The sequence below is a fragment of the Homo sapiens genome, chromosome 20, assembly GCF_000001405.40.
Source record: "Homo sapiens chromosome 20, GRCh38.p14 Primary Assembly".
NCBI lineage: Eukaryota > Metazoa > Chordata > Mammalia > Primates > Hominidae > Homo > Homo sapiens.
Window position 1 is genome coordinate 50,802,383 of NC_000020.11, and position 14,051 is coordinate 50,816,433.

Sequence of the window (14,051 nt, forward strand, 5' to 3'; positions counted from 1 at the left end):
TGGGAGAGGCAGCTTTTCTCAGATGTGCCTGACTTTCTACCCACAAAACCTGCCCAGGAGTGGGGGGAGCCTTCCTCAGGGCTCTGGCAGCCTCTCCTCACAGGACATGGCCTTGCTTTAGGTGAGGGTCTGCCTAGAGCCTTGGATGAAGGTCTCCCATCCGGCCCAGCTTCAGCGTCACACAGAGGCCTTAAAACAAACACGTTAGGCCAGGCATGTTGGCCCACGCCTGTAATCCCAGCACTTTGGGAAGCCGAGGCAGGTGGATCACTTGAGGTTAGGAGTTCCAGACCAGCCTGGCCAACATGGTGAAACCCCATGTCTACTAAAAAAATACAAAAATTAGCTGGGCATGGTGGTGGGCACCTGTAATCCCAGCTACTTGGGAGGCTGAGGCAGGAGAATCATTTGAACCCGGGAGGCAGAGTTTGTGGTGAGCCGAGATTGTGCCACTGCACTCCAGCCTGGGTGACAGAGCCAGACTCCATCTCAAAAAACAAACAAAACAAAACACGTTGGCTGGCCATGGTGGCTCATGCCTGTAATCCCAACACTTTGGGAGGCTGAGGCAGGCAATCACTTGAGGCCAGGAGTTTGAAACCAGCCTGGCCAACATGGCAAAACCCAGTCTCTACAAAAAATACAAAAATTAGCCAGCTGTGGCGGTATGCACCTACAGTCCCAGCTACTCGGGAGGCTGGGGCATGAGAATCGCTCGAACCCGGAATGTGGAGGTTGCAGTGAGCCAAGATCGCGCCACTGCACTCCAGCCTGGGCCACAGAGCAAGATTCTGTCTCAAAAACAAAACACGTTCCCAAAGATTAGAAATAGCCCAGTGCCCATCAGTGCGGGCCAGTGCCATAGCGATTCTTCTGATGAGTGGAGCAGTAGCGGCTGCAGCGGGAGTCAGCGCTGCTTTTGCCCATGCACAGCAGCGTTCAGCACAGAGTGCTGAGTGAGAGGTGCAAGGGGCATGTGTGTGTGCTGCCGTTTTCTGTAAATAAAAACAGAAGGCAAAAATATGTATTTTCATGCATCTATAAACAGGAGATTCAATTAAATCAGTTTCTCGGGTGGGGTGGGGTATAGGCATGGTTGGGAGCACTAATATAGATTATAGTTCTCAAACTTTACAAACTTTGGCATAATTTGAGGATCTTTAAAAAATACTAGCTGGGGTCAGATGCAGTATCTCATGCCTTCAATCCCAGCACTTTGGGAGGCTGAAGCGAGAGGATTGCTTAAGCTCAGGAGATCAAGACCAGCTTGGGCAATATAGCAAGACCATGTCTCTACAAAATAAAATAATAAATTAGCCAGGTGTGGTGGCACACACCTGTAGTCCCAGCTTCTGAGCTGTGATCGCACCACTGTACTTCAGCCTTGGGGACAAAATGAGACAGTGAGACTAGACTCCCAAAAAAAAAAAAAAAAAAAGAGAGAGAAAAATACTGATTGCTTGCCCCCATCCCTGAGTATTCTGATTTAATTCATGTGGGTGCAGCCTGGCCATTGGAATTATAAAAGCTCTCCAGGAGGATTTTAAGCCTGGAAGTGACCTGGTCTGATTGGTCTGTTGGAAAATCACTCTGGGGGCTGGTAGAAAATGAATTTTAGGGAGGATCCCATGAAGCAGAGCGTGTGGGCCTGGGGATCTGGATTTCTTTTTTTTGAGATGGAGTTTCGCTCTTGTTGTCCAGGCTGGAGTATAATGGCGCGATCTCAGCTCACTGCAACCTCTGCCTCCCGGGTTCAAGCGATTCTCCTGCTTCAGCCTCCCAAATAGCTGGGATTACAGGCGCCTGCCACCATACCTGGCTAATTTTTGTATTTTCAGTAGAGGCGGGGTTTCACCATGTTGGCCAGGCTGATCTCGAACTCCTGACCTCCAGTGATCTGCCCGCCTGGGCCTCCCAAAGTGCTGGGATTATAGGTATGAGCCACTGCACCCGGCCTCATGCTTTTTTCACTCATGTTTTGGAGACCTTTTTATATGAATGCACAGGAGCTACCTGATTATTTTCAGCAGTTAGACAGAATTTCATTGTTTGTCTGAATGACACTTTAGGTAACCATTCCTCTGTTGACAGATATTTAAGTTATGTGGAATTTTTTGCTGTCACAGAGTGTCCTGCAATAAATATCTCTGCACATACATCATTTTGCATTTATGCAAATATGTAGGATAAATACCTAGGAGGTGTATTACTGTGTCTGAGGACACATGCATTTTAGACAAGATTGAGTGCGTTTAGGGCAGTATGGCCATAGACAGCACATGCATTTTAAATGTTCGTTACTGTTGCCAAATTAACCTTCCTGGAAGTCAGGGTCTGCATGATTTTAGAGCAGAGTAGTCAGCCCCTTCTGGACACTCAAACTTCAAGATCAAGCATCCTTTTGGGACCAGGATGGGAACTCTGTGTTGCTTTGGGGACCTGAGAGGAACGAGTTCCCGAGTTTCTTCTCTGGGCAGTGGGTCGTTGTTTAACCTGCCAACTCCTTCCTGGTTTGCAGTTCAAACCTAACGCTACTCAGAGAATCACCTCATTTGCTCCCTGGCTTCCGGGATCTTTCAACCTTCATTTCATCGCTTTCATCTTGTGCATAGAGATGAGGATGATTTTCTGCCTGGGCTGAATGGACCTTGCTATGCTAAGATTCTTCAGTATTTGTGTGTGTGTGTGTGTATTTGTTTAAGCAGCATTATTGAGATGTGATTTGCATACATATAATTCACCTGTTTAAAGTGTATAATTTAATGGCTTTTCGCATGTTCACAGAGTTGTACAACCATCAACCACAACCAATTTTAGAACATTTTTATGACCCCAAAAGGAAACACTGCACCCGTTATCTGTCATTCCCCAACCCCCACCACGAATCTCCTTCCCATCTTTATAGATTTGCCTGTTCTGGTATTTCATGTGTGTTTGTGTTTTAAAAACACAGATTGGCCAGAGACTTGAAGGCCACATTCAGCCCACAGACAGTTTTATTTGGCTGTCATAGTGTTTTTTAACTTATCAGGCTAGTTTTGAACATTTTCAAATCGAGAGAATTTGCATAAACATCTGGATTGCCATTTGTCTTGAACAAAGCAGGGTTGGCATATCCCTACCTGGCACAAGCTGGGGCCCAGTAGCAGCCAGCCCATTTAAATAGGGCCTGGGGTCTCCTGTTTGCTACAGTCTCCACCCCTCCCTGTTGTCTCCCTGACCTGGAGGCTGAACATCAGCTGCTCTTTATGACCCCACCTGCACTGCTGTTTTTCTTAGAAGTAAAATCTCTCTGTCAAAAGTCGGAAACTGGCCAAAGCGGTGGTTCATGCCTGTAATCCCAGCACTTTGGGAGGCCGAGGTGGGTGGATCACCTGAGGTCAGTAGTTCAAGACCAGCCTGGACAACATGGCAAAACCTCGTCTCTTCTAAAAATACAAAACTTAGCCAGGCGTGGTGGTGTGCTCTTGTAGTCCCAGCTACTTAGGAGGCTCTGAGGTAGGAAAATTGCTTGAACCTGGGAGGCAGTGATTGCAGTGAGTTGAGATTGCGCCATTGCACTCCAGCCTGGGCGACAGAGCGAGACTCCATCTCAAAAAAAAAAAAAAAGTGGGAAACTGAACATAAACAGTTTGCAGAAAGCAGTATTCAGCACAGCCCACTTCTCTTGTATTTATTACCTGCATGGCTTCGGTGTCATTTGAGTTTGGAGAGCCTAGTAGGGTCCTTTTAAATGGAGGTGGCATCTCACTGGGAGTGACCCAGAGAAGCGACTTACTAGACTTCCTTAGCTTCTGTCATGAGACAGAGTCTGTGGATTGTTTTTCTCACAATTTTCAAATGGGGAGTCAGAAGCACAGAGATGGTGAGAGGTGCAGTTGAGACCACACAGCATAAAATGCAAGGCTGGGACTAAGGCGCCGCCCAGGCTGCTGTTCTCAGGCCACAGCTCTTCCAGGCAGTACACGTCCTCCCCTTCCCTTCTCTCTCTTTCTCCCTTTCATCTTCCTTTCTTTTCTGCAGTGAATATTCATGAGCACTGTATTGATTACCAATCACTGGATAGCAAACTATCCCAAACCTTAGCAACTTCAAGCATCTGCCATTTCATAGGGTTCATGCATGAACTGCATTCAGCTGGAGGATTGGCCACCCTGGCAGTCCAGTATGGCCTTGCCCATGTGTCTAGCAGTTGGTGCTGGCTATTGGCTGGGACATCTCAGTTCTCCTCCATGTGGCCTCTCAACCTCTAGAGCCTCGCTCACTGGCCTCTACAGAAGAGTTGCCTGGACTTCTTTTTTTCTTAAATTTTATTATTATTATTTTTTAATTTTTGGGGGTATATAGTAGGTATATATATTCAGGGGGTACATGAGATGTTTTGATACAGGCATGCAAGGTGAAATGAGCACATCATGGAGAATGGGCTGTCCATCCCCTCAAGCATTTGTCCTTTGAGTTACAAACAGTCCATTTATACTTTTTTTTTTTTTTTTTTTTTTTTTTTGAGACCGAGTCTCACTCTGTTGCCCAGGCTGGAGTGCAGTGGCAAGATCTTGGGTCACTGCAACCTCCACCTCCTGGGTTCAAATAATTCTTGTGTCTCAGCCTCCCAAATAGCTGGGATTACAGGTGTGCACCACCACACACGGCTAATTTTTGTATTTTTAGTAGAGATGGGGTTTCACTATGTTGGCCAGACTGGTCTTGAACTCCTGGCCTCAGGTGATCTGCCTGCCTCGGCCTCCAAAAGTGCTGGGATTACAGGCGTGAGCCACCACACCCAGCCCAATTACACTCTTTAAGTTACGTTATTTTCTATTTTTTTTGAGACAGGACCTCACTCTGTCACCTAGGCTGGAGTGCAGTGGCAGAATCTTTGCTCACTGCACCCTCCGCTTCCTGGCTCAAGCGATCCTCCCACCCCAGCCTCCCAAGTAGCTGGGACTACAGGCATGTGCCACCATGCCCAGCTAATTTTTGTACTTTTTTGTAGAGATGGGGTTTCACCATGTTGCCCAGGCTGGTCTTGAACTCCTGACCTCAAGTGATCTGCCTGCCTCAGCCTTCCAAAGTGCTGGGATTACAGGCATGGGCCACTGCACCTGGACTTTACGTTATTTTATTTTTTAATTTTAATAGGTTTTTGGGGAACAGGTGGTGTTTGGTTACATGAATAAGTTCTTTAGTGAGTGGTGATTTCTGAGATTTTGCCGCAGCACTCATCACCTAAATAGAGTACATGGCACCCAATGTGCAGTCTTTTACCCCTCACCTACCTCCCACCCTTTCCCCTAAGTCCCCAAAGTCCATTGTATTATTTTTATGCCTTTGCGTCCTCATAGCTTAGCTCTCACTTACGAGTGAGAACATACGATGTTTGGTTTTCCATTTCTGAGTTACTTCGCTTAGAGTAATGGTCTCCATTTCCATCCAGGCTGCTGCAAATGCCATTATTTCATTTCTTTTTATGGCTGAGTTGTATTCCATGGTATCTATATGTATATATGCCACATATTCTTTTTTTTTTTTTTTTTTTCTTCAGACGGGAGTCTCGCTCTCTTACCCAGGCTGGAGTGCAGTGGCGTGATCTCGGCTCACTGCAGGCTCCGCCTCCTGGGTTCACGCGATTCTCCTGCCTCAGCCTCCCGAGTAGCTGGGATTACAGGCGCCCGCCACCATGCCCGGCTAATTTTTTTTTTGTATTTTTTAATAGAGATGGGGTTTCACCATGTTAGCCAGGATGGTCTCGATCTCCTGACCTCGTGATCCGCCCGCCTTGGCCTCCCAAAGTGCTGGGATTACAGGCGTGAGCCACCGCGCCCGGCTGTGCCACATATTCTTTATCCACTTGTTGATTGATAGGCATTTGGGCTGGTTCCATATTTTTGCAATTGCTAATTGTGCTGCAGTAAACATGCATGTGCAAGTATCTTCTTCATATAATGACTTCAAGATACCCAGGAGTGGGATTGCTGGATCAAATGGTAGATCTACTTTTAGTTCTTTAAGGAATCTCCACACTGTTTTCCGTAGTGATTGTACTAGTTTACATCCCCACTAACAGCCTAAAAGTGTTTACATTCCCACTAACAGTGTAAAAGTGTTCCTTTTCATCACATCCATGCCAACATCTGTTATTTTTTGATTTTTTGATTATAGCCATTCTTGCAGGAGTAAGGTGGTATCGCATTGTGGTTTGGATTTGCATTTCCTTGATCATTAGTGATGTTGATCAGTTTTTCATATGTTTGTTGGCCACTTGTATATCTTGTTTTGAGAACTGTCTATTCATGTCCTTTGCTCACTTTTTGATGGGATTTTTTTTTTCTTGCTTAGTATTCTGGATATTAATCCCTTGTCAGATGCATAGATTGTGAAGATTTTCTCCCACTCTGTGGGTTGTCTGTTTACTCTGCTGATTATTTCTTTTGCTGTGCAGAAGCTTTTTAGTTTAAGTCCCACCTATTTATCTTTGTTTTTATTGCATTTGCTTTTGGGTTCTTGGTCATAAAGTCTTTGCCTAAGCCAATCTCTAGAAGCGTTTTTCCAATGTTATCTTCTAGAATTTTTATGGTTTCAGGTCTTAGATTTAAGTGTTTGATGCATCTTGAGTTGATTTTTGTATAAGGTGAGAGATGAGGATCCAGTTTCATTCTTCTACATGTGGCTAGCCAATTATCCCAGCAGCATTTGTTGAATAGGGTGTCCTTTCTCCACTTCTGGTTTTTGTTTACTTTGTCAAAGATCAGTTGGCTGTAAGTATTTGGGTTTATTTCTGGGTCTCTGTTCTGTTCCATTGGTCTATGTGCCTATTTTTTTAATTTTTTTTTTTTAATTTTTTGAGACAGAGTTTCACTCTTGTTGCTCAGGCTGGAGTGCAATGGCGCAATCTCAGCTCACTGCAACATCAACCTCCTGGGTTCAAGCAATTCTCCTGCCTCAGTGTCCCCAATAGCTGGGATTACAGGCATGCACTACCACGGCTGGCTGATTTTTGTATTTTAGTAGAGACGTGGTTTCACCATGTTGGCCAGGTTAGTCTTGAACTCCTGATCTCAAGCGATCCACCCGCCTCGGCCTCCCAAAGTGCTGGGATTACAGGTGTGAGCCACCGCACCCAGCCTTTATAGTATATTTTGAAATCAGGTAATGTGATGCCTCCAGATTTGTTCTTTTTGCTTAGTTTTGCTTTGGCTGTGAGGGCTCTTTTTTGGTTCCATATGAATTTTAGGATTTTTTTTTCTAGTTCCATGAAGAACGATGGTGGTATTTTGATGGGAATTACATTGAATTTGTAGATTGCTTTTGGCAGTATGGTCATTTTCACAATATTGATTCTACCCATCCATGAGCATGGGATATGTTTCCATTTGTTTGTGTCGTCAGTGGTTTGTTTCATCAGTGTTTTGTAGTTTTCTTTGTAGAAGTCTTTCACCTCCTGGGTTAGGTATATTCCTAAATATTTTATTTTTTGCAGCTGTTGCAAAAGAAGTTGAGTTCTTGATTTGATTCTCAGCTTGGTTGCAGTTGGTGTATAGCAGTCTACTGATTTGTGTACATTGGTTTTTATATCCTGAAACTTTGCTGAATTCATTTACCAGTTGTAGGAGCTTTTTGGAGGAGTCTGTAGGGTTTTCTAGGTATACGATCATGTCATCAGCAAACAGCAAATTTTACTTCCCCTTTACTGGTTTGGATGCCCTTTATTTCTTTCTCTTGTCTGATTGCTCTGGCTAGGACCTCTAAGTTATTTTAAAATGTACAATTAAGTTATTATTGAATCTAGTTGCCCTGTGATACTGCCTGAACTTCCTTATGTGGCTTCTGGCTTCCCGGAGGGTGAATCAGAAGCTTTGAGGTCTCTCGAGGCCTAGACCTGGGAGTCACAGAGCCTTGCTCCCATCACATCCTATTGGTCTAAGCAAGTCACAGGCCAGCCTAGATTCGGGAGTGGGAAGAATTGGATCCCACCTCTTCACCGGAGTTGCTGCAAGGTCCTTTTGCAAAAGCATTTGTGGGATGAGAGGGAGTTGGAAGGCCAACTTTGAAACACAAGTACCTATTAGTTGCCAGACTTTGTTCTAGGCTCTGGGAATTGAAAGACAAATAAAAGAGACAAAAACCTGTGTCCTCCGGAGGTTTCATTCTGGTGGGGAAGATGACAGGAAACAAGTTGAGAAAAATAGTATGTTATTTTTTTTGTGTTTTTTTTTTTTTTTTGAGACGGAGTCGTCTCGCTCTGTCGCCCAGGCTGGAGTGCAGTGGCGCGATCTCGGCTCACTGCAAGCTCCGCTTCCTGGGTTCACGCCGTTTTCCTGGCGCAGCCTCCCGAGTAGCTGGGACTACAGCCGCCCGCAACAACGCCCGGCTAATTTTTTGTATTTTTAGTAGAGACGGGGTTTCACCATGTTGGCCAGGATGGTCTCGATCTCCTGACTTTGTGATCTGTCCGCCTCGGCCCCTCAAAGTGCTGGGATTACAGGTGTGAGCCACCATGCCCGGCCATGAAAAAAATAGTTATGTTAGATGGTGATAAATGCTAAAGGGAAAAGTAAATTGGGGCAGGAGGACCGGGAGTAGGGGAGCTATAGGGTCAGGGAAAGCCTCACCTGGAAGAAATATTTGAGCAAAAGCTAGAAGGAAGTGAGAGACAACTTTCACCAGTAAAGGGAACAGCAGGTGCAAAGGCCCTGCGGTGAGGCTGTGGGTGGGGACGAGCAACAGGCAGTGAGATCAGGGGGAGGTGGAGGCTCCAGATGGAGTAGGGCTGGGGAGGCCCCCATTAGGTGTTTTCTGAGCAGGTAGAAGATGAGGGAGGACTCAAAAAATAGAAGCCAGGCATGGTGGTGCCCATCTGTAGTCCCAGCTACTCAAGAGGCTGAGGCGGGAGGATCCCTGAGGCCCAGGAGTTGGAGGCTGCAGTGAGCTATGGTCCCACCACTGCACTCTAGCCTGGATGACAGAGTGAGACCCTGTCTCTAAGAAAAAAAAATTGGTATATAATTCATGTATAAATGTATGATTTTAAAGTATATAGTTTGTTGGCTTTTAGTATATTTACTGTGTTGTGCAGACATCACCGTGACCTAATTGCAGAACATTTCTATGACCCAAAAAAGAAACCCCATCACCATTAGCAGTTATTCCCTCCTCTCCCTGCCACTCCATGCAGAGGGGCAATCACGAATCTATTTCTTTCTGTCTCTGTGGATTTGCCGATCTCTGGACGTTTCCTCCCTCCCTTCCTTTTCTTTTGAGATGGAGTCTCGTTCTCTCGCCGAGGCTGGAGTGCAGTGGCACGATCTTGGCTTACTGCAACCTCCAGCTCCAGAGTTCAAGCGATTCTCATGCCTCAGCCTCCCGAGTAGTTGGGACTACAGGCTCATGCCACCAGGCCTGGCTAACTTTTGTAGTTTTAGTAAAGATGGGGTTTTGCCATGTTGGCCAGGCTGATCTCAAACTCCTGACCTCAAGTGATCTGCCTGCCTCAGCCTCCTAAAATGTTGGGATTACAGGCATGAGCCACTGTGCCCAGCCTGGACATTTCTTGTAAGTGGAATCATGTCATGCGTGACCTTTTGTGCCTGGCTTCTCTCACTTAGCATCATGTTTTCAAGGATCATCCATGTTGTAGTGTGTGCTGGTGCTCCATTACTTTTTATGGACAAATGATACTCTATTGTAGGGATACATCACATTTTATTTGTTCATTCATCACTTAATGGATATTGGGTCGTGTCTACTTTTTATTTATTTATTTTTTTTGAGATGGAATCTCACTCTGTTGCCCAGGCTGGAGTGCAGTGGCACAATCTTGGCTCGCTGCAAGCTCTGCTTCCTGGGTTCACGCCATTCTCCTGCCTCAGCCTCCCGAGTAGCTGGGACTACAGGCGCCCACTACCACGCCCGGCTAATTTTTTGTATTTTTTAGTAGAGACGGGGTTTCACCGTGTTAGCCAGGATGGTCTCGATCTCCTGACGTTGTGATCCGCCCCCCCTTGGCCTCCCAAAGTACTGGGATTACAGGCGTGAGCTACTGCGTCTGGCCTTTTTTTTTTTTTTTTAAATTGAGATAGAGTCTTGCTCTCTCGCCCAGGCTGGAGTGCAGTGGAGCGATCTTAGCTCACTGCAAACTCCACCTCCTGGATTCCCCAAGCAATTCTCGTGCCTCAGCCACCCAAGTAGCTGAGACTACAGGCTTGTGCCACTACGTCCAGCTCATTTTTGTAGTTTTAGTAGAGAGGGGGTTTCACCATCTTGGCCAGGCTGGTCTCGAACTCCTGACCTCAAGTGACCTGCCTGCCTCGGCCTCCCAAAGTGTTGGGATTACAGGCGTGAGCCACCACACCCAGGCTTTTCAACTTTTTGACTGTAATGAATATTGTGCAAGTTTTTGTGAGAGCATATTTTTCATTTCTTTTTTATTTATTTTTATTTTTTATTTTTTTGAGACAGGGTCTTGCTTTGTCATCCAGGCTGGAGTGCAGTGGCGCCATGATGGCTCACAGCAGCCTTGATCTTCTGGGCTCAAGTGCTTTTCCCACCCCAGCCTCCTAAGTAGCTGGGAATACAGGCACATGCCACCATGTCCGGCTAATTTTTGTATTTTTTTTTGTAGAGACGGTGTCTCACTATGTTGCCCAGGATGGCCTTGAACTCCTGGGCTTAAGTGATCTGCCTGCCTCAGCCTCCCAAAGTGCTGGGACTAAATGTGTGCGCCACTGTGCCTGGTCTGTTTTCATTTCTTTCGGGTATATTGCTTGGCCATAAGTTGACTCTGTGTTCCTTTTGAGGAGATGCTGGACTGGTTTTCAGAGCAGCTGCACAATTGTACCCTTCCCACCAGCAGTGCGTGAGGCTTCCAATTCCTCCACATCCTCGCCAGCCCTCATCATTTTCCATTTTTGTGATTGCAGCCATCCCTGTGAGTGCAAAGTGGTACAGTGGAGGATTTGGGGTGGGGAGAGCTTTTGTCTTAACAGGACTGCACAGAGTAGATTGAAGGGCAGTAAGAACAGGAAGCTGGGACCAGCGAGCAGGCTACTGCAAGAGTCCTAGCAAGAGACGACGGTGACTTGCGCCATGGTGCTTGGTTGTATGGGAGAGAGAGTGAAGTAGTTGGATTTGGGTAGAGACATTTTGAAGGTAGAAATGAGAAGATTTGCTGGCACATTGGATGGGGTGGAAGGTGGGAGAGAAGAGTCAAGGGTGCTCCGAAGTATTTGGCCTGAACGAGAGGATGATGGAGTTTCCATTTGTTGAATTAGAGAAGATCATGGGTGGAGGACCTTTTTTTTTTTTTTTTTTTTTTTTTGTGCCAGCCCCTTGGTGAGCAGGGCCAGCCCCTCTTCAATGTTTGGGCATTCCCAGCTGGGAAGCTTGCACTGCCACTTTGTGAGAAGCGGGGATGTGGGAAAAAAAAGTGAAAACCATGATTCGCAGGTGTTTGTTTAAAAAAAAAAAACCCACTCACCATCTCCACTGGTCCTTCCTTGAATGTCACTTAAAGTGAGCCTCTCGCCTCCTTCCCCTCTGAGTGGAGCAGTTTATGCCCAGGGGGTTGCGAAGAACAGCGAGGGCATTCATCTGCTCACAGGCTGGTTAAAAAGGCACGTGGGCTGCAGCCTGCGGGACTCTCATTTCTGAGGCCACTTAGGGGATAATCTTGAGAGAAAATTGCCCATGGATGATTTGTGGGCATGGTGGGCTGGCTTATCCTGAGCGCCTTCCTGTTGGTCGGGAATGTCTTGGGCTTGTTTCTCCCTTTGCTGACCAGACAGTCAGCAAACTCTCGCTTTGATCCTTCCTGCTTTTGGGAACCTCCCTAGATACCAGGGGGTGAGGTGGGGGACTGACCATAGCTGACAAGCAGCAACAAAGGGGACACATTTCTAACTTCCCCCAAGAGCATCTTGTTTTTGTTTTGAGACAATCTCACTCTGTCACCCAGGAGGGCAGTGGTACATCACAGCTCACTGTAGCCTCAACCTCCTGGGCCCAAGTGACCCTCCCAACCTCAGCCTCTCAAGTAGCTGAGACCACACAGGTGTGCACCACCATGCCCAGTTAGTTTTCTTTTTATAGAGACAAACTTTCCCACTGTTGCCCAGGCTAAACTGGAACTCCTGGGCTCAAGCGATCCTCTGGCCTCAGCCTCCCAGCGTTGGGATTACAGGCATGAGCCGCTCTACCCAGCCCCAAAGAACATCTTGTTACACATTCTAGCTCTGGAGTTAGAGTGCTCAGGGTCGAATTCTGGCTTCAATATTTATTAGCTGTGTGAGCTTGGGCAAGGGACTTAACCTCTCTGATCCTCTGTTTCTCAATCCGTAAAAAGAGGGAAATAGTAGCACCTACTGCATAGGGTTCTTGTGAGAAGTAAATGAGGTAATTCAAATACAGTGACTAGCCCTTGTTTTTATTCTATGGCGAAAGAGATTGGGTGGGTGCAGTGGCTCATGCCTATAATATCAGCACTTTGGGAGGCTGAGGCAGGAGGATTGCATGAGGCCAGGAGCTTGAGACCAGCCTGGGCAACATAGTGAGACCCCTGTCTCTGCAAAAATTAAAATACAAAAAAAGAGAGAAAGCGAGCTATGGAATGCAACCCCTTATCACGCACCTATTGTGTGTCAGCACTCTGTTAAATCAGTTAGCCACATCTATGATGTCAGGTTAACCTCCTGACCATTCTGCCAAACGGGCCTGATGGTTCCTGTCACAGGGGATCCAGTGGCAGTGAAATGCAGAGGTTAAGCCATTGGGTTCCAGCTGCATGGCTGGCAGAGGGTAAGGTGAACCCAGAAGTGCCGTGACCACGCCGTGCCCTTCCTGAGCAGGCCAGGATGGGTTGCAATGCACTTCCTACAAGCACAGTGCTGCAGAAACATCTTGGGAAGGAGGCATCCCACCCCGCTGGGGCATGGGCTTCCGTGGCCTCCCATGCAGGTTGTGTGTTCTTAAGCATGTCTGGACCCGTGTCTGCGTTGTGTGCACCTGCACTCCCAGGATCTCTCCATCACCCGCTGTGCCCCACTCCTCTCTTTCTCTTTCTCTTTCTTTCCCCTGGACCAGAAAGAACAACCAATCTTCTCCTCTAACCACAGTGACCTCTTGGCTCCATCCTTTCTCCCTTAGTGCGATAATGACATTTTCTCATTGTAATTTAATTTTGGGGTTGGGTGGGGGAATGATCTTTCTTTTTCCCCGTCTTCTCTCCCCTCTCCCCGACTGAGGCACAGAAATAGTCCCAGCTGTGAGATGAAGGTTGCAGAGTTTAAAATTGCAACTTGGTACTATTTATACTCCAGCCTGAAAGATGTTTTTTTGTGCAGTCGTTTATTTTGTTGTGGTGGAGATGGCTCATGCTGGAAGCAGCAGGAACTGGTGCTGTATAAACAGTTCTCTGGGGACAAGTGGGTGGTGAGGGAGCCTTCAGGTGCAGGGGGCAGGGACTAGGCCTGCCCAGAAACTCTGAGCACGCCTCCCTGGAGCAGGACGGTGTGGCCTGGTAGGGAAAGCAGATCATGTGCTTGGCGAACTTTCTTCCTGAATGCTGGCCATTACAAAAATAACAACAGAAACTGGTATTTTAGAAGTCATAAAAGTAGTAGATAACTTGAGGGGGAAAAAAAACCTAATTTTTCTTTTTTGTTTTTGAAGACAGATCTTGCTCTGTCTCCCAGGCTGGAGTACAGTGGCACAATCTTGGCTCACCGCAACCTCCTCCTTCTGGGTTCAAGCAGTCCTCCTGCCTCAGCCTCCTGAGTAGCTGGGACTACAGACGCGTGCCACCACGTCTGGTTAAATTTTGTATTTTTAGTAGAGACGGGGTTTCGCCATGTTGGTCAGGCTGGTCTCGAACTCCTGACCTCAGGTGATCTGCCCACCTTGGCCTCCCAAAGTGTTGGGATTACAGGCGTGAGCCACTACGCCTGGCCAAACCGCTAATTATTTCCCTAATTTTTACACAAGTGCATGAAGCAGTTGTACACTGGCAGGCCCTCTGCACGTTCGTTATTGGCTTAATTTGTGAAGCATTAAAGGGT

At 46.8% G+C, this 14,051-nt stretch overlaps 1 protein-coding gene across 7 annotated transcripts in view, besides 5 other annotated features; it reads left to right on the forward strand.

The window, feature by feature from the left end:
• The window catches only part of BCAS4 (breast carcinoma amplified sequence 4), an 87,783-nt gene that overhangs the window by 7,489 nt on the left and 66,243 nt on the right, over positions 1–14,051 (forward strand). The window lies entirely within an intron of this gene.
• Positions 7,891–7,950: an enhancer, noted in NCBI's record as "active region_18099". NCBI's record gives its function as "activates an Ori minimal core promoter by ATAC-STARR-seq in GM12878 lymphoblastoid cells {active_cell/tissue: GM12878}" and the evidence as "EXISTENCE:reporter gene assay evidence [ECO:0000049][PMID:35858748]".
• Positions 9,966–10,015: a silencer, noted in NCBI's record as "silent region_13027". NCBI's record gives its function as "represses an Ori minimal core promoter by ATAC-STARR-seq in GM12878 lymphoblastoid cells {active_cell/tissue: GM12878}" and the evidence as "EXISTENCE:reporter gene assay evidence [ECO:0000049][PMID:35858748]".
• Positions 11,549–11,598: a silencer, noted in NCBI's record as "silent region_13028". NCBI's record gives its function as "represses an Ori minimal core promoter by ATAC-STARR-seq in GM12878 lymphoblastoid cells {active_cell/tissue: GM12878}" and the evidence as "EXISTENCE:reporter gene assay evidence [ECO:0000049][PMID:35858748]".
• Positions 12,663–12,712: an enhancer, noted in NCBI's record as "active region_18100". NCBI's record gives its function as "activates an Ori minimal core promoter by ATAC-STARR-seq in GM12878 lymphoblastoid cells {active_cell/tissue: GM12878}" and the evidence as "EXISTENCE:reporter gene assay evidence [ECO:0000049][PMID:35858748]".
• Positions 12,773–12,942: an enhancer, noted in NCBI's record as "active region_18101". NCBI's record gives its function as "activates an Ori minimal core promoter by ATAC-STARR-seq in GM12878 lymphoblastoid cells {active_cell/tissue: GM12878}" and the evidence as "EXISTENCE:reporter gene assay evidence [ECO:0000049][PMID:35858748]".